The sequence below is a fragment of the Homo sapiens genome, chromosome 19 (assembly GCF_000001405.40).
Source record: "Homo sapiens chromosome 19, GRCh38.p14 Primary Assembly".
NCBI lineage: Eukaryota > Metazoa > Chordata > Mammalia > Primates > Hominidae > Homo > Homo sapiens.
This window is the reverse complement of record NC_000019.10, coordinates 19,755,495-19,776,530: the sequence shown is the minus strand read 5'-3', so window position 1 is coordinate 19,776,530 and position 21,036 is coordinate 19,755,495. Positions and strand designations below refer to the sequence as shown.

Here is a 21,036-nt window from a genome sequence, read left to right as displayed (position 1 = left end):
CCTGGTATGCTGGGAGTTGTAGTCTCTTTACTGCTCTCAGCCCATGGGTAGGTAGCTTCAGAACTACAATCCCAGTATGCATCGGGGTGGTGCGTAACCCTGGAGGGAGGGGCAGACACTTAACCTGTGTCTAAAGCACTGCTGGCCGCCGATTCTACGCCGCCCGGTCGCCAGGGAGAGTGAATACAGCTAGGGACGTGAAAGGCAGGTCTGGGCTGGGCATTGAGGAGGGTATTAAGCTAGGAAGTATGCCTTACCTTTATCTAAATCGGGCGGGTCGTCCTCCCCTCATTGGCCTTGTGCAGCTCGGATTCCTCTCTCACCCGCACCCAGGGGTCTTCCCAGAGCATTGCGTCGTCTCCAGCCCAGGGAGCCGCCTTCTTTCCTAAACTGCTATAGACACTGTCCTGATGTCTAAGACAATGTACTTTGTGCCGCAGGCCTCTGCCTTCCCTAGCCAGAGCGCGAGCTCAGCCGCTTTTGAGAGAAATCTGCCACCTGGCCTACCTGTGCACAACTTCAGAGCTTTGCAGGGGGTGACAAGGGCTGTGGCTTCAGGGAAATGTCACGCGCACTGGCACCTTTTTCGCGAATGTGAAAATTGAGAAATCAAGAAGGTTAATTATAGGGTTGCCCAGGATCTGCCAAGAGCAAAGAAGAAAACCCCATTTCCCAGGCATGTGTCTTGTGAGCCATTTTTTATCAACCCACTTAAGTGGACAAGCTCCAAAACACAACATGAAGCTGATGATAATTTAGGCAATTTACGTTTGAAATCATCGGCCTCATCTCAAGGCAGTGTCTTAGAGACACAGGTGGGACCTGATCCCTCAGGAACAGATAGCGTTCCAGCTTTGTGGGATTGACTTTTGAGATATGGAGCACTTCGGGGTCAATTGAAACCCGTCAGGTTTCACATCTCTGCTTTGGATAGAAAGCCCATCACCCACAGCTGTCAGAGATGTTCCTTGACTCACTGGGGCTCATCTGTTGAATTTTTCTATCTAGATAATGGAAACATCTAGGAGCACTTCTGCTTCCATGTAAACTCTTAATAATTGATGTCCCTAAAATTCTGTGTTCTCAGGGACAGTTCCTTTGGTTCCCAGATGGTACCAGCTTTCATGTTGTTACATCTAATATGTAAAAACCTGGATGTTAACCTCCAAGACATTGTTCACGTCACACATTCCAGTATTTTTCATTTGTGATTTCTGAATGTAGGACAATATCAAAGAACTGAAAACCTGGTCATAAAAATTGGACCCTATTACTGCACTTAGTGAATAATTTACCCCTTAGGGTTAATTACACCTGAGTTCATCAGCACCTGTGTAAAGAAAGAAAAAAAAATTGTGGCATCTGCCAGGCGCAGTGGCTCAAGCCTGTAATCCCAGCACTTTGGGAGGCCGAGGCAGGTAGATTACCTGAGGTCAGGAGTTCAAGACCAGCCTAGTCAACATGGCGAAACCCCATCTCTACTAAAAATACAAAAATTTGCCGGTCGTGGTGGTAGGCGCTATAATCCCAACTACTCGGGAGGCTGAGACAGGAGAATCGCTTGAACCCGGGGGGCGGAGGTTGCAGTGAGTCTAGGTCAAGCCACTTCATTCCAGCCTGGGCGAAAGGGCGAAACTCCATCTCAAAAAACAAAACAAAACAAAACCACGTGGCACCTATGCATGTGGCAAGATGAGGAAGTATAGGGAGACCACAGCACATTTCTAGGGCTCTTCTTTTGTTTTAAATAGTGCCTGTGGGGAAAGTCTATGTGATCCAGAGCACACATCCCTTCCCTAGCCCTCTGTTTTCATCCTCCTCCTTCCTGTGCCCTCTTTAGGTGAGGGTGTCTGATTACCCTCGCCCACAAGTGTTGTATGGGGATGTTGTAACATAACCATATCCATCTTCTCAAAATGAGGATTAATAGAGAGGAGTGTCTTGGGACTTGTGTTCAGATGCACTGCTGTTTGGTGTGTGGCTGCTCTCAGCAGTCCCACGGCAGCTGTCTGAAAAGATTGGTACAGATGTAGCCACAGCTGGTGTTCACAGGGCTGGGTGCTTCTTGTGGTTTGGTGTCTTTTGTTTAGATTTTGTGGCTCTGACCCTCTTCTGCTTATCCATTCCTGGTAGTATCTGCGAGGTTGCCTCGTTTGTTCCACTTGTTTCCTGGAAGCTTGTTGTGTAATTTTATTTCCCAGGATCTTTGGGATTCTATTCTCACTAGACCAGTCACTGTCCACTGGCCCTGTACTTATCTTGCGGGAGCCCCCATGTTCATCCTTTCCAGTGGAGCTAGGAAGAATTCTAGTTACTTCTAAATCTTCTAATTCTGATGCTGTTGGGCCATTTATTAAGCTGGGAATTTTGTCTTTGGGCTCATGGACATTATTCCAAAGGTTGTCTTGTCTTTGGGCTCATGAACATTATTCCAAAGGTTGCAGTGAGCCGAGATCACACCATTGCACTCCAGCCTGGGGTACAAGAGCGAGACTTCATCTCAAAAAAAATAAATAAATAAATAAATAAAAAATAAAATTATGATTTCAGTTTCTTCCTAGTGTAGGGCAATTCAAAAATATCAGTTTTTTAATTGGGTAATTATAATAATTTATGTTTTGAGTGATTAAATCATTTCATCTAAGCTGTTAAATTTTATGTGTATAGAGTTATTCATATTGAAGTCCCAACCCTCATTGGGACTGGGTATGGAGAGGGAGATTTTTAAGAGGTAATTGAGGTTAAATGAGGTCATCAGAGTGAGGCCATAATCCAGTATGACTATCATCATGATAAGAAGAGATAGAGGCCAGGCACTGTGGCTCACGCCTGTAATTGCAGCACTTTGGGAGGCCAAGGCAGGCGGATCACTTGAGGCCAGGAGTTTGAGACCAGCCTGGCCAACATGGCAAAACCCTGGCTCTACTAAAAATAAAACATTAGCTGGGCATGGTGGCGCACACCTGTAATCCCACACCTGTATTCAGGTCACTAAGGCAAGAGAATCACTTGAACCCAGGAGGCGGAGGTTGCAGTGAGCCGAGATTGTGCCACTGCACTCCAGCCTGGGAGATAGAGCGAGACTCTGTCTCAATAAATAAATAAATGAATAAATAAATAAAATAAAGGAGAAGGGACAGAGAAACACTAGAACGGGCCAATTAGAAGAAAAAGCCCTGCCGGGTGCGGTGGCTCACGGCTGTAATCCCAGCACTTTGGGAGGCTGAGGCGGGTGGATCACGAGGTCAGGAGTTTAAGACCAGCCTGGCCAAGATGGTGAAACCCCGTCTCTACTAAAAATACAAAAAAATTAGCCGGGCGCGGTGGCAGGCGCCTGTAATCCCAATTACTCAGGAGGCTGAGGCAGGAGAATCGCTTGAACTTGGGGGGCGGAGGTCGCAGTGAGCCGAGATCGTGCCACTGCACTCCAGCCTCGGTGACAGAGTGAGACTCCATCTCAAAAAAAAAAGAAAAGAAAAGAAAAAAAGAAAAGGGCCATGTGAGGATACAGAGGAAGGTGGCGCCATACGCAGAGGGCTCAGGAGAAACCAGCTGTCCTGGGACCTTGATCTTAGACTTCCAGCCTCCAGAACTGTGAGATGATTTATTTTAACTCACCCAGACTCTGGTATTTTCTTATGGCAGCCCTAGACGACTAATACACTTTATTATTCTTTTTATGTCTGCAGGGTATGTAATGATATCCTTTGTTTCTTTTTTTTTTTTTTTTTTTTTGAGATGGAGTCTCGCTTTGTAGCCAGACTGGAGTGCAGTGGCCCGACCTTGGCTCACTGTAATCTCCACCTCCTGGGTTCAAGCAATTCTCCTGCGTCAGCCTCCCGAGTAGCTGGGACTACAGGCACCCACCACCACGCCCAGCTAATTTTTATTTTTTGTATTTTTAGTAGAGACAGGGTTTCACCATATTGGCCAGGCTGGTCTCGAACTCCTGACCTTGTGATCCACCTGACTCAGCCTCCCAAAGTACTAGGATTACAGGCGTGAGCCACCGCGCCTGGCCGATATCCCTTGTTTCATTCCTGACAGGGTAATTTGTGTCTTGTCCTTTCCCCCACTTAGTCTTGCTTGAGGTTTGTCTATTTAATTGATCTTTTCAAAAAAAATCAGCTGTCTGTTTTATTGGTTTTTCTCTATTACTTTCTGAGTCTCAACTTTATTTCTCTTCCTATCTTTATTATTTCTTTCTTAATACTTCTTTTGTTTGGGTTTAGTTTATTAAGTTTGACCTTTTCCCAGGTTATCGATGTGGAAAATTAGATTATCTGGAGACTTAGTTTTTTTCTTTTTTTTCTTCTTTTTTTTTGAGACAGTCTTGCTCTGTCGCCCAGGCTGGGGTGCAGTGGCGCCATCTCGGCTTACTGCAAGCTCCGCCTCCTGGGTTCATGCCATTCTCCTGCCTCAGCCTGGGACTACAGGCACCTGCTGCCACGCCCGGCTAATTTTTTTTTTTTTTTTTTTTTTTTTTTTGTATTTTTAGTAGAGACCGGGTTTCACCGTGTTAGCCAGGATAGTCTGGATCTCCTGGCCTCGGCCTCCCAAAGTGCTGGGATTACAGGCTTGAACCACCGCGCCCGACCAGCCTTTTCTAATATATGAGTTTAGTGCCATCAGTTTCTTCAGTACACTGCTTTAGTTGTGTCTTACAAATTTTGATCCATTGTCTTTTCATCATCTTTGTGGTCAATGTATTTTTTGTTTTCCCAGGGACTTCCCCTTCAAGCTTGCAAGAGTTGGAGATGTTTGCATTGTCTTCACATTATTGATTTCTAGTCTGACTCCATTATGATCCGAGAACACACTCCGTGTAATCTGATTTTTAAAATTTGTTGAAGTTTGTTTCATGGCCTAGGAGATGGTCTATCTTACTTTATGTTCCATGAGCCCTTGAAGAGAATGCATATGCTGCTGCTGTTGATTAAATTACTCTACAAATGTCAACCAGATCCTGTTGATGAATGATGGTGTTGAACTGTTGTCTTTTTTTTAGATTTGCTGCTGAAATTTTCTCTGTTCTATTGTTTAGAGAAAAATGTCAATATCTCCAACGATAATTGTGTATTTGTCTTATTGTCTGTTTCTCCTCTGTTTGTTCCAGTTTTTGTTTCACATTTTTCATGTCTGTTGATTTATGCCTACACATTTAGGACTGCTGGGTCTTCTGGGTGGATTAAGCTTTTTATCATTATGTAATTTCTCTCCATGTCTCAATTTTTTTCTCTGAAATCTACTTTATCCGATATTATTGTAACTACTCATGCTTTCCTTGATTACTTGTATCTTTTTCCAGCTTCTTATACTTTATTTATTTATTTTAAATTTATTTTTGATATGGAGTCTCACTCTGTTGCCCAGGCTGGAGTACAGTGGCGTGATCTCGGCTCACTGCAACTTCTGCCTCCCCAGTTCAAGCGATTCTCCTGCCTCAGCCTCCCAAGTAGCTGGGATTATAGGCACCAGCCACCACACCTGGCTAATTTTTGTATTTTTAGTAGAGCCAGGGTTTCACTATGTTGGCCAGGCTGGTCTTGAACTCCTGACCTCAAGTGATTCGCCCACCCCAGCCTCCCAAAGTGCTGGGATTACAGGCGTGAGTGAGCCACCACGCCTTGCCCAGCTTCTTATACTTTAAATTTACCTTTTTTTTTCTGATTTTATTCTGCTTTTTTTTTTTTTTTTTTTTTTTTTTTTTAGTATTTATTGATCATTCTTGAGTGTTTCTCGGAGAGGGGGATTTGGCAGGGTCATAGGACAATAGTGGAGGGAAGGTCAGCAGATAAACAAGTGAACAAAGGTCTCTGGTTTTCCTAGGCAGAGGGCCCTGCCGCCTTCCACAGTGTTTGTGTCCCTGGGTAGTTGAGATTAGGGAGTGGTGATGATTCTTAGAGCATGCTGCCTTCAAGCATCTGTTTAACAAAGCACAACTTGCACCGCCCTTAATCCATTTAACCCTTAGTGGACACAGCACCTGTTTCAGAGAGCACGGGGTTGGGGGTAAGGTTATAGATTAACAGCATCCCAAGGCAGAAGAATTTTTCCTAGTACAGAACAAAATGGAGTCTCCTATGTCTACTTCTTTCTACACAAACACAATAACAATCTGATCTCTCTTTCTTTTCCCCACATTTCCCCCTTTTCTATTCGACAAAACCGCCATTGTCATCATGGCCCGTTCTCAATGAGCTGTTGGGTACACCTCCCGGACGGGGCGGCTGGCCGGACGGGAGCTGCCCCCCACTTCCCAGATGGGGCGGCTGCCGGGCGGAGGGGCTCCTCACTTCTCAGACGGGGCGGCCGGGCAGGGACGCTCCTCACCTCCCAGATGGGGTGGCGGCGGGGCAGAGACACTCCTCAGTTCCCAGACGGGGTCGCGGCCGGGCAGAGGCACTCTTCACATCTCAGATGGGGCGGCAGGGCAGAGGTGCTCCCCACATCCCAGATGATGGGCGGCCAGACAGAGACGCTCCTCACTTCCTAGACGGGATGATGGCCGGGAAGAGGCACTCCTCACTTCCCAGACTGGGCGGCCGGGCAGAGGGGCTCCTCACATCCCAGACGATGGGCGGCCAGGCAGAGACGCTCCTCACTTCCTAGACGGGGTGGCGGCCGGGCAGAGGCTGCAATCTCGGCACTTTGGGAGGCCAAGGCAGGCAGTTGGGAGGTGGAGGTTGTAGCGATCCGAGATCACGCCACTGCACTCCAGCCTGGGCAACATTGAGCACTGAGTGAGCGAGACCCCGTCTGCAATCCCGGCACCTCGGGAGGCCGAGGGTGGCAGACCACTCGCAGTCAGGAGCTGGAGACCAGCCCGGCCAACACGGCGAAACCCCGTCTCCACCAAAAAATACGAAAACCATCAGGTGTGGCGGCGCGCGCCTGCAATCGCAGGCACTCGGCAGGCTGAGGCAGGAGAATCAGGCAGGGAGGCTGCAGTGAGCCGAGATGGCGGCAGTACCGTCCAGCCTCGGCTCCGCATCAGAGGGAGACTGTGCAAAGGGGAGACGAGGACCGTGCAAAGGGGAGAGGGAGGGGGAGGGGGAGAGGGAGAGGGCTTATTCTAAATTTACCTTTTTATATTGGAAGTGAGTTTCTTCTAAAGAGAATATGCATGGTCATATTTATTAATCAGTGTTGTCAGGCCGGGAACAGTGGCTCACGCCTGTAATCCCAGCACTTTGGGAGGCTGAGGCGTGCGGATCACGAAGTCAGAAGATCGAGACCATCCTGGCTAACACGGTGAAACCCCGTCTCTACTAAAAATACATAAAAAATAGCCGGGCGTGGTGGCGGGCACCTGTAGTGCCAGCTACTCGGGAGGCTGAGGCAGGAGAATGGCGTGAACCTGGGAGGCGGAGCTTGCAGTAAGCCAAGATCTCGCCACTGCACTCCAGCCTGGGCGACAGAGGAGATTCCGTCTCAAAAAAAAAAAAAAAATCAATGTTTTCAATCTTTGTCTCTAATTGATTATTTTATTTTATTTATTTATTTTTGACTGGTGGCAGTAGAATTTATTCAAATGTGCCTTAATACAGGTGCTAGGGCTTGCCGGTGGTGCTCTTGTTATATAAGGGCCGGACATTCTGCCGGTTTTCCGTGAGCAGTGACATCAGGAAGTTTACAGCCAGGTGAATGTTACACACATCGTCTGTGTGTAACATCGTCTGTCATCTTCACGTGGCTGACAGCCACAGCCAGACATAGCACCTTCTTCATTTGGGTGTTGATTGTGAACTTCACCTCATCCACTTTGGCCAGCATGTTTTTGTTGTGTGTCAGCGGAGATCTACTTGGTTAATTCAGAACATTTAACAGTTAAGTTAATTTTGTTAAAACTAGCCTGATACGTTGTTTTCTGTTTGTTCTCTCTGTTTTGTTCCTCTGTGTGATTTTTACTTTCTTCATGTAGATAATTTGAACATGTTTTAAAATTTCATTTATTTGTAGTGTTTTTGAGTATAGCTTTTTTAGTGTTAGATCAACGTATTACATTATATTCAGAAATTATCGTAGTTAACAATGTTTCAATTGTTCCTTGATATTCAAATACAATTTATAAAACACAAAAGGGAAAGAAAGCCTATTGTATCTACCCTCATTTTATCCCAGCATAGAAGGCACATTGGATAAAAGTTTTGTTTGATAAGGTGTCTTTCCTGGTCTTTTTGGCTGAAGACAGGAGTCTGTTGTTGGGTTTGCTTTTTGTTTTTTGGGGTTTTTTTGAGACAGTGTCTCTCTGTCACCAACGCTAGAGTGCAGTGGCATAATCACAGCTCACTGCAGCCTCAACCTCCCCAGGCTCAAGCCATCCTCCCATCCCAGACTCCCAAGTTGCTGGGACTATAGGTGTGCACCACCATACCCAGCGAATTTTTTGTAGAGGTGGTATTTCACCTCTACAAAAAATGATGCCCAGGCTGGTCTTGACCTCCTGAGCTCCAGTGATCCACCCGCCTCAGCTTCCCAGAGTGTTGGGATTATAGGCGTGAGCCACTGCACCTGGCTGAGAAGTATCTGGTTAGATCCTTTCCCATTTTAAATTTAGATTCTTTTTTTGTTTGTTTTTTGCTATTAAGTCATTTGAGTTCTTTGTATATTCTGGTTATTAATACCTTATTGGGTGGGTATTTTGAAAATACTTTCTGCCATTCTGTAGCTTTTCTCTTTACCTTGTTAATTTTTTTTTTTTTTTTTTTTTTTTTTTTGCTATGCAGAAGCATTTTGGGTTGATATAACCCCATTTGTTTTTGTTTTCGTTGCCTGAGCTTTTATGGTTTTACTAAAAAAAAAAAAAAAAAAAACCACTATCCAGACCAGTTTGTTCATTTTGGGTAACTGAAACTTTGTATCCCCCCAACCCCCGTTTTTCTTTCAGCTCAGCTTCTGGAAAACACCATTCTACTCTCTGCCTCTACACGTATAATTACTTCATATTTCACATGTATGTGAGATCATGATGTATTTGTCTTTCTATGTCTGGCTTCTTTCAATCGTGCCTTAATGTGTACCTTAGTATCCTTCAGGTACATTCATGTTGTCACAAATGAAAAGATTTACTGGCCGGGCGCGGTGGCTCACGCCTGTAATCCCAGCACTTTGGGAGGCCGAGGCAGGCTGATCAGCTGAGTTTGGGAGATCGAGACCATTCTGGCTAACACGGTGAAACCCCGTCTCTACTAAAAATACAAAAGATTAGCCAGGCATGGTGGTGGGCGCCTGTAGTCCCAGCTACTCGGGAGGCTGAGGCAGGAGAATGGTGTGAACCCAGGAGGCAGAGGTTGCAGTAAGCCAGGATCGCGCCACTGCACTCCAGCCTGGGTGACAGAGACTCCATCTCAAAAAAAAAAGAAAAGAAAAGATTTACTCCCTTTTTAAGGCTAATATTCTATTGCATGTATATACTACCTTTACTTGACACATTCATGTATCCTTCATGGACATTTAGGTGGCTTCCATATCTTGGCTATTGTGAATAATGCTGTAATAGACACAGAACTATGTAGCTCTTCAAGATCCAAATTATATTCCCTTTGGATGTATCCCCAGAATTGAGTTTAATGAATCAAACTGTAATTTTTTTTTTTTTCGAGACGGAGTCTCACTCTGTCACTCAGGCTTTAGTGCAGTGGTGCGATCTCAGCTCACTGCAACCTCTGCCTCCCGGGTTCAAGCAATTCTCCTGTCTCAGCCTCCCGAGTAGCTGGGATTACAGGTGCGCACCACCACTCACAGCTACTTTTTTTTTGTATTTTTAGTAGAGACAGGGTTTCACCATGTTGGCCAGGCTGGTTTTGAACTCCTGACCTCAAGTGATCCTCCCACCTCGGCCTCCCAAAGTGCTGGGATTACAGGCATGAGCCACCACACCCGACCTATAATTCTGTTTTTAACTTTTTGAGACAACTGTATGTTGTTTTCCATTGTTGCTGCCAATTTTAATTCCTGCCAGCTGTGTACAAAAGTTCCAGTATCTTCATAACTTTAGCACGCTTGTTTGTTTTTAATATACCTGTCCTCACAAGAGTGAGGTGATGCCTCACTGTGACTTAAATTTGCATTTGACTGACATTTAATGACACGGAGCATTTTTTAAAATATACCTGTGGCCATTCTTATGTCTTCTTTGGAGAAATGTTTATTTAGGTCATTACTCATTTATTAATCTTGTTATTTGGGGTTTGCTATTGAGTTGTAGAAATTCCTTGTATTTTTGGATATTAACCCTTTATCAGATATATTATTGGCAACTATTTTTTTCTCATTCCTTAAGTTGCCTTTTCATTTGTTGAATTTGTCCTTTGTTCAGAAGTTTTTCTATTCGAGGTAGTCCCACTTGTCTGTCCTGATTTTATTGCCTGTTCTTTGTCTTACTATTTTGTTTTTTTGAGACAGGGTCTCATTCTGTTGCCCAGGCTAGAGTGCAGTGATGCAATTTTGGCTCACTGCAACCTCTGCCTCCCAGGTTCAAGCAGTTCTGCCTCAGCCTCCTGAGTAGCCAGAACTACAGGAGTGCACCACCACACCCAAATAATCTTTAAAATAGATTTAGTAGAGATGGGGTTTTGCCATGTTGGCCAGACTGGTCTCCAACTCCTGACCTCAGGTGATCCGCCTGCCTCAGCCTCCCAAAATGCTGGGATTATAGGTGTGAGCCACCACACCCGGCCTGTTGCCTGTTCTTTTGAAGTCTAATTTAAAAAAAAGCATCTCAATGTCCAAAGTTCTGAAAATTTTTCCATATTTTTTTTCTAGCCATTTTATGTTTTCAGGTCTTATGTTTAAATATTTAATCCATTTTAAGTTAATTTTTAATATGGTATGAAGTAAGAGTCCACATTTATCCTTTTGCATATAGAGATCCAATTTTTCCAGCACTATTTACTTAAAAGACTCTCATTTCTCTGTTGTGTATTTTTGGCACCCTTGTTGAAGATCAGTTGATTGTATGCATATATTAGATTTATTCTGGGACTCTCCATTCTGTTCCATTGTTCTTTATGTCTGTTTTTATGCCAGTACTATCTTGTTTTGATGGCATTGCTTTCTAATGTTTTGAAATCAGAGAGTATAATATCGTCAGCTTTGTTCATCTTGCTCAATACTGCTTTGACTGTTTAAGGTCTCTTTTGGTTCCAAGTAAATCTGTAATTATTTTTGTCTAGTTTAATAATAAATGCCATTGGGGTTTGGATAGGGCTTGCATTTACTTTCTATATCACTTTGGGAAGCATGGACTTTTATTTTATTTTATTTTATTTTATTATTTTATTTTGAGACAGGGTCTTGCTGTATCACCCAGGCTGAAGTGCAGTGGCACAATCATGGCTCACTGCAGCTTCAACCTCCTGGGCTAAATCAATCCTCTCACCTCAGCCTCCAAGTAGCTGGAATCACAGGCATGCAAAACTATGCCGGGCTAATTTTTGTATTTTCTGTAGAGACAAGGTTTCACCATGTTGCCCAGGCTGGTCTTGAACTCCTGAGCTCAAGCAATCCACCTGCCTTGGCCTCCCAAACTGCTGGGGTTATAAGCATGAGCCACCATGCCTGGCCAGCATGGACATTTTAACAATATAAATTTTTCCAGTGTATTTTCTGTGCCCCAGGAACAGGCCAAAAGCTGTTTCAAAAAAAAAAAAGAAAGAAAAAAAGAAAAGAAAGGAAGGAAGGGGAGGGGAGGGGAGAAGGGAAAAGAAAAGAAAAAGAGCAATTATCTACATAGGATGGCATGATTTTCCTCCAAAATCTTTCCTGTGATTAACACAGGAGCTTTCCAGAAGCTCCAAAGATCATCTGTATCTGCCATCAACAATTTCAGCACCTTTGACTCTATTGGAAGACATGACCCAAGTGACACGACAGCCTGGATCTGATGTAGAATATTCTTTTCTGCTGAGTAAAGAAAAGCTAGCAGCTTTTTGGGTCACAGGGTAAATGGGCCAGAGTAACTTACCAAATGAGAAATATGTTACCTTCAAAATCAAAAGGCCCACTAGAGTTGTGCCTCTTTTTTGTTGTAGTAGAAGCCAAATATAACAACTTACTCCTCTGCTTCCAGGGGATACGTTGGCATGTCCCAAACCATTGGGACCCTATAAATCTCACAAAGATAGAAGGCTTCTGAAATTTTGTTGGATTAATGTCCTACATCCTGACATAAATTTCATACCAGTAAGTCTAGAGTGAGCTTCTCATACCAATAAGTCTAGTGAGTTTCTTGCTCACTATATTCAATGAGCATAATACCATCAATGTAAAGAACCAGTGTGATAGTTTGTGGAAGGAAAAGGTGACCAAGATCCCAGCAAACTAAGCTGTAACATAAGGCTGAAGAGTTGATATATCACTATTATTGACTGAACTATGTCCCTCTAAAATATATATGTTGAAGCTCTAACCCTCAATGTGACTGTAATTGGAGATAGGCCTTTACGGAGGTAATTAAGATTAAATGAGAGCCGGGCGCGGTGGCTCACGCCTGTAATCCCAGCACTTTGGGAGGCTGAGGCGGGTGGATCACCTGAGGTCAGGAGTTCGAGACCAGCCTGGCCAATATAGTGAAACCCCATCTCTATGAAAAATAAAAAAAATTAGCCAGGCGTGGTGGCGGGCGCCTGTAATCCCAGCCACTAGGGAGGCTGAGGCAGGAGAATCACTTGAACCCAGGAGGTGGAGGTTGCAGTGAGCCGAGATTGTGCCGTTGCACTCCAGCCTGGGCAACAAGAGCGAGACTCTGTCTCAAAACAAAACAAAACAAACAAACAAACAAAAAAAGGTTAAATGAGGTTATAAGGCTAGGGTTCTATAAAAAAAAAAGTCATTATAAGAAGAGAAAGAGACATTAGAGATCTCCCTTACCACAAAAGCACAGAGGAAAGTCCATGGAAGGACATAGAGAAGGTGGTCACTTACAACCCAAGGAGAGAGATCTCACCAGATGCCAGTTCTGATGATCTTGATTATAACTTCTACCTTCTGCAACTGTGAGAAGAAAATACATTGATTAAGTCACTCAGTCGGCATGCTGTTACAGAAGCCCGAGCCAATTACTAGTGTGTGAGGTAGGACAGTGACGGTGTGTTTCTGTCTTTGCCACCTGAAAGCGAACTGCTTCTGGTGGTATTTATTAACAATGATAGAGAAAAAAAAGTATTAGGCAGATGAATAGCTGTACACTAGGTACCAGGGATGTGTATATTTGCTCAAGTAATAAAACAACATCTGGTACAACAACTGCAATGGGAGTCTCCATATGATTTAAGCTTACGTTTATCCAGTATAATTCTCCAAGATCTCTTATGTTTATTCAGTGACTTACATAGGATGAAATGAGAGCCATGACCCTTGGATGGTTCCTTTTTTTTTTTTTTTTGAGACCAAGTCTAGCTCTGTCACCCAGGCTGGAGTGCAGTGGCACGATCTCAGCTCGCTGCAACCTCTGCCTCCTGGGTTCAAGCGATTCACCTACCTCAGCCTCCCGAGTAGCTGGGATTATAGGTGCATGCCACCACGCCCGGCTAACTTTTTTTGTATTTTTAGTAGAGGTGGGGTTTCACCATGTTGGTCTCCAACTCCTGACCTCATGATCCGCCCACCTCGGCGGGCTCCCAAATCTGAACTCAGCACTCCCAAAGTGCCACCTCTCCCAGCCTACCCTTGGATCTTTTAAGACCTTCCTGGTGGCCTCAGTCTCTGAAATCCCTGTACGAATGTGCTGTTGCTTTTGGTTGACTTTTTCCTAGGAATACGCAGTTCTGATGACTTCATCTTGACCTTTTTTTACCAAAATAGCTCTCGCTCCACTGGTCAGGGAACCAGTTTGGCATTCTACCAGTTGCTGAGTATGTCTAATCTAATTATGTATTCCAGAACGGGGAAGATAACCGAAGGGTGGTTTGAGAAACCCACCAGGCCAACTGGGAATTAGAATTGATTCAAAACTCCATTGATCGCCTGACCTCCATAAGCTCCTACTCTGGTAAATGCCCTGCAATGTCATTTCAGTTCTCCTGGAATTAGTATCAGTTCAGAAACTGTATTCAGTAATTCCTCAAAGGTCTGATTATTTCTTTTTTCCCAATGCAAAGGTTCTCCGGTAAAAGGCCATAGTTTTCTTTGGGGAAAAGAGGGGGACAAATTAACAGTATATATTTGTAATAGTATACTGGATTTCTTCCTCATAGGGACCCAGCATCTCATTGATTCAAGGAGTTCTGGGTCTATAAACTAATTCGAGACTGGAAATTAATTGAGAAGCCAAGCCAGGTGTGGTGGCTCACACCTGTAATCCCAGCACTTTGGGAGGCCGAGGCAGGTGGATCACAAGGTCAGGAGTTCAAGACCAGACTGACCAACATGGTGAAACCCCATCTCTACTAAAAAAAATACAAAAAGTAGCCAGCGTGGTGGCACGCACCTGTAATCCCAGCTACTCGGGAGGCCAAGGCAGGAGAAGTGTTTGAACCCAGGAGGTGGAGGTTGCATTGAGCCGAGGTTGCGCCACTGCACTCCAGCCTGGGTGACAGAGTGACACTCCATCTCAAAAAAAAAAAAAATTGAGAAGCCATAAATCTTTGGTTTTGTTTTTTGTTTCATAATTCAGGTTTGGCTTTGTTTGACTTGAACTTTTCTACTTATATAGATCAAGTAAAAACTTAGTAGTCTTCCTGTCTATTCTAATTCTTTTTTTTTTTTTTTTTTTGAGACAGAGATTCGCTCTTATTGCCCAGGCTGGAGTGCAATGGTATGATCTCAGCTCAGTGCAATCTCAGCTCACCGCAACCTCTGCCTTCCGGGTTCAAGCGATTCTCCTGCCTCAGCCTCCTGAGTAGCTGGGATTACAGGCATGCGCCACCACACCCAGCTAATTTTGTATTTTTAGTAGAGATGGGGTTTCTCAATGTTGGTCAGGCTGGTCTCAAACTCCTGAACTCAGGTGATCCTCCCGCCTCGGCCTCCCAAAGTGCTGGGATTACAGGCATGAGCCACTGCGCCCTCTATTCTAATTCTAGGAAGCCCATGAGTCAAACTATTCTTATTGCTTGCTTTGACTTTGCAGTCTGTTAAATAACCATTCCCACCATTTTTTTCACAGCTGCAGTTGAGTGCTGCCACTTAAATCCTGCAGTCCCGAGATCCGGTTATAACCAATGCATTTAGATTTTTCATTTCGGTGGCAACAATCTTCATTGTAAGTTCTGTCCTACAGAGAAGTGTGGTGATCAAGCTCTTTGGAGATACTGGGACTCCTCTCACAAATGTATGTCTCACAGTTATGATGAATGGTGTATCTCCTGGATCTTCCTCAGTTGAGTATGTTTTAAAGGAAAAATACACTTTATCATTCAAATCTTTCAAAGCTTTTGAATCACTTTATAGCAAACCAATGAAGATCCAGCATTTCATTCTTTCTTTTCTTTTTTCTTTTTTTTTTTTTTTTGAGACAGAGTTTCACTCTTGTTGCCCAGGGGCTGGAGTGCAATGGTGCGATCTCGGCTCACCGAAACCTCCACCTCCCGGCTTCAAGTGATTCTCCTGCCTCAGCCTCCTGAGTAGCTGGGATTACAGACATGCACCACTACACCCAGCTAATTTTGTATTTTTAGTAGAGAAGGGGTTTCTCCATGTTGGCCAGGCTGGTCTCGAACTCCCAACCTCAGGTGATCCTCCCACCTCAGCCTCCCAAAATGCTGGGATTACAGGTGTGAGCCACCGCACCTGGCCCTCATTTTAACTTTTTAATATCCAATGTTTTCTGAATGAATACCCCCACTTTAAAAGTAGGCATCCTGCAAGCCTGGGAATTTAATTTTTGTTGTAATTCAGCCAGTTATGGGATGAGATGCTATGATTTCTTTTCAGCATTTTGAGCCCTGAAGCTGCAGGAGTTAAGTATCTTCTTCAGGGCTACATATAAATTTTTAGGATATTAATGCAGTACTTGTATTAAAAACTTGGAATCCCTGACTTAATCCTTTTCTTTACCCAGTTTGTCCAGCAACATCAGAAGCAAATATCAAATCTCATTATACTCGTTAGTCTGACAAAAAGACCCAGATTGTATACAAAATCACCTGGATACTTGCACCTTTTAAGTGTTTGATTAGCAGTATCTAATGGTGATATCTTGTGTATTTCTACTACCAGATTACGCCAAAAACTATTCAAGTACATTTTACTATTAAAAATAAAATCAAGGCTGGGCACAGTGGCTCACGCCTATAATCCCAATGCTTTGGGAGGCCAAGGTGGGCAGATCACCTGAGGTCGGGAGTTTGAGACCAACCTGACCAACATGGTGAAACCCCGTCTCTACTAAAAAGACAAAAATTAGCAAGGTGTGGTGGCACACGCCTGTAGTCCCAGCTACTCAGGAGGCTAAGGCAGGATAATTGCTTGAACCCAGGAGGCAGAGGTTGCAGTGAGCTGTGATGGCACCACTGCACTGCGGCCTGGGTGACAGAGCAAGACTCTGTCTCAAAAAATAAATTATTTAGGTTCTTTATTTGATCAAAAGACTACAGTAGAAAAAATATGTAATCACTTTAGTATATCCTTGAATAAAATATGTGATGATTAAGAATACCAAATAGGATAATAGAAACTTCTGGCTGGGAATGGTGGCACATGACTGCAGTTCCAGCTACTCAGGAGGCTGAGGTGAGAGAATTGCTTGAGCCCAGGAGTTTGAGGCTGCAGTGAGCTATGATTCCATCTGTGACTAGCTACTGCACTCCAGCCTAAGAAACATCAGAGATCATGCTTTGAAAGGAAGGAAGGAAGGAAGGAAGGAAGGAAGGAAGGAAGGAAGGAAGGAAGGGAGGGAAGGAAGGGAAAAGGCAAAAATAAAATTCTTATTAAGCAAAGATATTTGTGCAAACATCATAATCAACAGCAAACATCAGAAGTGTTTCAATAAAGAAAAGTCTAAGACAAGGGCCGGCAAGGCCTCTCCCATTTATCACTGTGAGGGATGCCTGAGTCTGGACCAGAAGAGAGAAGAGGAGGAAACAGGAAAGAATGTAAGTCAAAGAATTTGAACTGTAGTTATCCACAGAGGCCATGAGTACAAATAGAAAAGCAGGGTAATCGATTTCAACTTTCAGAACAAAAACTGTTTAACAACATTCAGGAAATTGAGCAAATGCACATTGTATATATAATAAATCTTGAATCTTTCATACTAATAATAAACATACAGTAACAATAACAAAGAGTCAGCCTCCATCCACATTAGCAAACGTGCCATGAAATCGACTTAGAAGACATTCCCAGGCCTATGTGAAACCATAAAACTTTACTGAAAACCATAAAAAGACACATTGAGGCCGGGCGTGGTGGCTCACACCTGTAATCCCAACACTTTGGGAGGCCAAGGTGGGCAGATCATGAGGTCAAGAGATTCAGACCATCCTGGCCAGCATGGTGAAACCCCATCTCTAGTAAAAATACAAAAGTTAGCTGGGCGTGGTGGTGCGTGTCTGTAGTCCTAGCTACTCGGGAGGTTGAGGCAGGAGAATCGCTTGAACCCAGGAGTTGGAGGTTGCAGTGAGCCAAGATCGCGCCACTGCACTCCAGCCTGGGCAACAGAGTGAGACTCCATCTCAAAAAAAAAGACACATCAAAGACTAACAAACCAAATCCTTACATTAGAAGAAGTAGTGAAATAAAGATACTAAAGATCCAGACTCAGTGCACTTCAAACTTTTTGAAATAGCTATTCTAACAGATGTGAGGTGACATCTCATTCTGGTTTTAATTTGCATTTCTCTGATGATTATTGAACTTGGGCTTTTGTTCATGTACTTTTTGCTCATATGCATGTCTTCTTTGAGAAATGTCTATATCAAGTCCTTTGCTAATATTTTATAGTATTTGTTTTCTTGCTGTTGGACTGTTTGAGTTTTTATACATTTGTGATATTAATGCATTATCAGACGTATAGTATAGAAATGTTTTCTGTCATGCAGATGCTTCTTAGAGACAAGGCCTCACTCCATTGCCCCTAGGCCAGGCCTGGTGAGTGACAGCAGCCCTGGTGCCCCAGCCTGCTAGGGCAATGTGTCACCCAGAGGCTTCAAGGCCCTTCTCACCATGGTACCCACCTCCTCGAAGCTGCCTCCCAAAGCCCTCTAGCTGCTGCTGCAGCCACAACAAGTGCCACCACCAGGGGCCTTCCAGCTGCCAGTGCAGGCTTTCCAGAGCCGGGGACTGGGGAACCTGCAGTCATCACCTCAGCAATTCTGGTGGCAGCCAGGCCAGCCAGGGCAGCGATGATGACCGTAATGAAAAGTGGGATGACAGCTCCACACTGGTGGATGAGTTGAGAACACCAGGCAGAGGCATGTACCTGGTCTTTGATGGTTCAGTGGACCTGCACTACCATTGCAGTGCAAAGTGCAAGAGTTGAAGCTTGGAAACCTTCACCTAGATTTAGGAAGATTCATGGAAAAGTCTGGATGTCCACGCAGAAGCCTGCTGCACGAGTGGAACCCTCATGGAGAATCTCTACCAGGGCAGTGTGGAGGGGAAATGTGGGGTTGGAGCCCCCACACAGAGTCCCACTGGAGGACTTCCTAGTGGAGCTATGAGAAGAGAACCACTGTCCTCCTGACATCATAATGGTAGATCCACTGGCAGCTTGCACTCTCAGCCTGAAAAAGCTACAAGTACTCAAGGCCAGCCCTTGAGAGCATCTACAGGTGCTAAACCCTGGAAAGCCACAAGTGTGGTGCTGCCCAAGGCTTTGGGAGCCCACCCCTTGTACCAGCACGCCCTTGATGTGGGATAGGAGGTCAAAGGAAGTTATTTTGGAGCTTTAAGATTTAATGACTGCTCTGCTTGGTTTTGGACTTGTGTAGGCTTGTAGCCCCTTTCTTTTGGCCAATTTCTTCCTTTTAGAATGGGAATGTTGATCCAATGCCTATACCCCCATTGTATCTTGGAAGTAACAAACTTGTTTCTTATTTTACAGGGTCATAGGCAGAAGGGACTAGCCTTGTCTCAGATAAGACTTTGGACTGTGGACTTTTGAGTTAATGCTGGAATGAGTTAAATATTTGCAGGACTGTTGAGAAGGCATGGTAGTTTGTTTGTTTGTTTGTTTGTTTGTTTGTTTGTTTGTTTTTTGAGACAGAGTCTCCCTCTGTCACCAGGCTGGAGTGCAGTGGTGCGATCGCAGCTCACTGCAATCTCTGCCTCCTGGGTTCAGATGATTCCCCTGCCTCAGCCTCCCCAGTAGCTGGGACTACAGGCCTCCATCACCATGCCTGGCTAATTTTTTGTATTTTTGTAGAGATGAGGTTTCACCTTGTTGGCCAGGATGGTCTCGATCTCCTGACCTTCTGATCTGCCTGCCTCGGCCACCCAAAGTGCTGGGATTACAGGCGTGAACCACTGCACGCAGCCGGTAGTATTTTGAAATATGAGAAGGACATGAGATTTGGGAGAGACCAGAGGTGGAACAATATGGTTTGAATCTGTGTCCCCGCCCAAATCTCATGTTGAATTGGAATCCCCAGTGTTGGAGGTAGGACCTGGTGGAAAGTGATTGGATCATGGGGCGGTTTCTCATTAATGGTTTAGCACTATCCCCTTAGCGCTGTTCTTGTGAGAGAGTTTGCATGACATCTGGTTGTTTAAAAGTGTGTGGCACCTCCCCCCACACTTCCTCCTGCTCCAGCCACGTAAGACATGCCTGTGGCCGGGCGCGGTGGCTCACGCCTGTAATCCCAGCACTTTGGGAGGCTGAGGTGGGCGGATCACGAGGTCAGGAGATCGAGACCATCGTGGCTAACACGGTGAAACCCCGTCTCTACTAAAAATACAAAAAATTAGCCAGGCACGGTGGCGGGCGCCTGTAGTCCCAGCTACTCGGGAGGCTGAGGCAGGAGAATGGCGTGAACCTGGGAGGCGGAGCTTGCGGTGAGCCAAGATCGCGCCACTGCACTTCCGCCTGGGCGAAAGAGCGAGACTCCATCTCAAAAAAAAAAAAAAAAAAAAGCAAAGACGTGCCTGCTACGCTTTCACCTTCCACCATCATTGAAAGTTTCCTAAGGCCTCTCCAGAAGCCGAATAGATACCAGCATCATGCTTCCTGTACAGCCTTTAGAACCATGAGCCAATTAAACCTCTTTTCTTTATAAATTTCCCAGTCTCAGGTGTTTTTTTATGGCAATGCAAGAACACACTAATATAGCTGAGTTATTGGGGCCACATCAGTGGAACCTATTCAGTGGAGTCATGTGGGACCTGGTCAGCAGGGCCTGGCGAATAGGTCCTTGTGAGTGGGGGTCTGGTCAGTGCTGACCTGGTCAGCAGCAGCCTGGTCAATAGCACCTGGTCAGTGGGGGCCTGGTCAATGGGGACACAATCATTGGAGACCTAGTCAGAGGAAGCCTGGTGAGCAGGTGCCTGGTCAGTGAGGACCCGGTCTGCGGGGACCTGGTCAGAGAGGACTGGTCAGAGGGCCTGGTCACTTGGGGCTACACCAGTGTGTCCTGGTCAGCATGGGCCTGGTCAGCTGAAATGTGGTCAGTGGGGGCCTGGTGAGTGTGACCTGGTTATTGGGGTCCTGGTCAGTGGAAACCTGGTCAATGAGGCCCGGTCAGTGGAAATCTGGCAATGGGGGCCCAGTCAGTGGAGGTCTGTTCAGTAGGGACCTGGTCAGTGGGGACCTGGCTACTGGGGTCCTGGGTAGTGGGGCCTAGCCAGTAAAGGTCTGATCATTAAGGACCTGGTCAGTGGGAACCTCATCAGTCAGTGGAGGGACCTGGTCAGTGGGGTCTGGAATTGGGGGGCCTATCAGTGGGGCCTGGCTAGTGGGGCCTACTCAGTGGAGGTCTGGTCAGTGGGGTCCTAGTAAGCTGAGGCCTCATCATTTGGGGCCTGGTCAATGGGGACCTAGGGAGTGAGGGACTTGTCAGTGGGGCCTAGTCAGCGAAACGTGGCCACCAGGAGCATAATCAACTGTGGTCTTGTCTGTGGGGGCCTGGTCTTTGGAGTCCTCATTAGTGGGGCCTG

The 21,036-nt window shown here is 45.2% G+C and overlaps 1 long non-coding RNA gene across 1 annotated transcript, besides 1 other annotated feature; it reads left to right on the top strand.

The window, feature by feature from the left end:
• On the top strand, window positions 118-20,160 carry LINC00663 (long intergenic non-protein coding RNA 663). Its single transcript, NR_026956.1, has 3 exons — window positions 118-204; window positions 13,885-13,993; window positions 17,985-20,160. It is a non-coding gene; the product is annotated as a long intergenic non-protein coding RNA 663 (long non-coding RNA).
• Window positions 201-260: an enhancer, noted in NCBI's record as "active region_14370". NCBI's record gives its function as "activates an Ori minimal core promoter by ATAC-STARR-seq in GM12878 lymphoblastoid cells {active_cell/tissue: GM12878}" and the evidence as "EXISTENCE:reporter gene assay evidence [ECO:0000049][PMID:35858748]".
• Window positions 20,161-21,036: the final 876 nt, after the last annotated feature.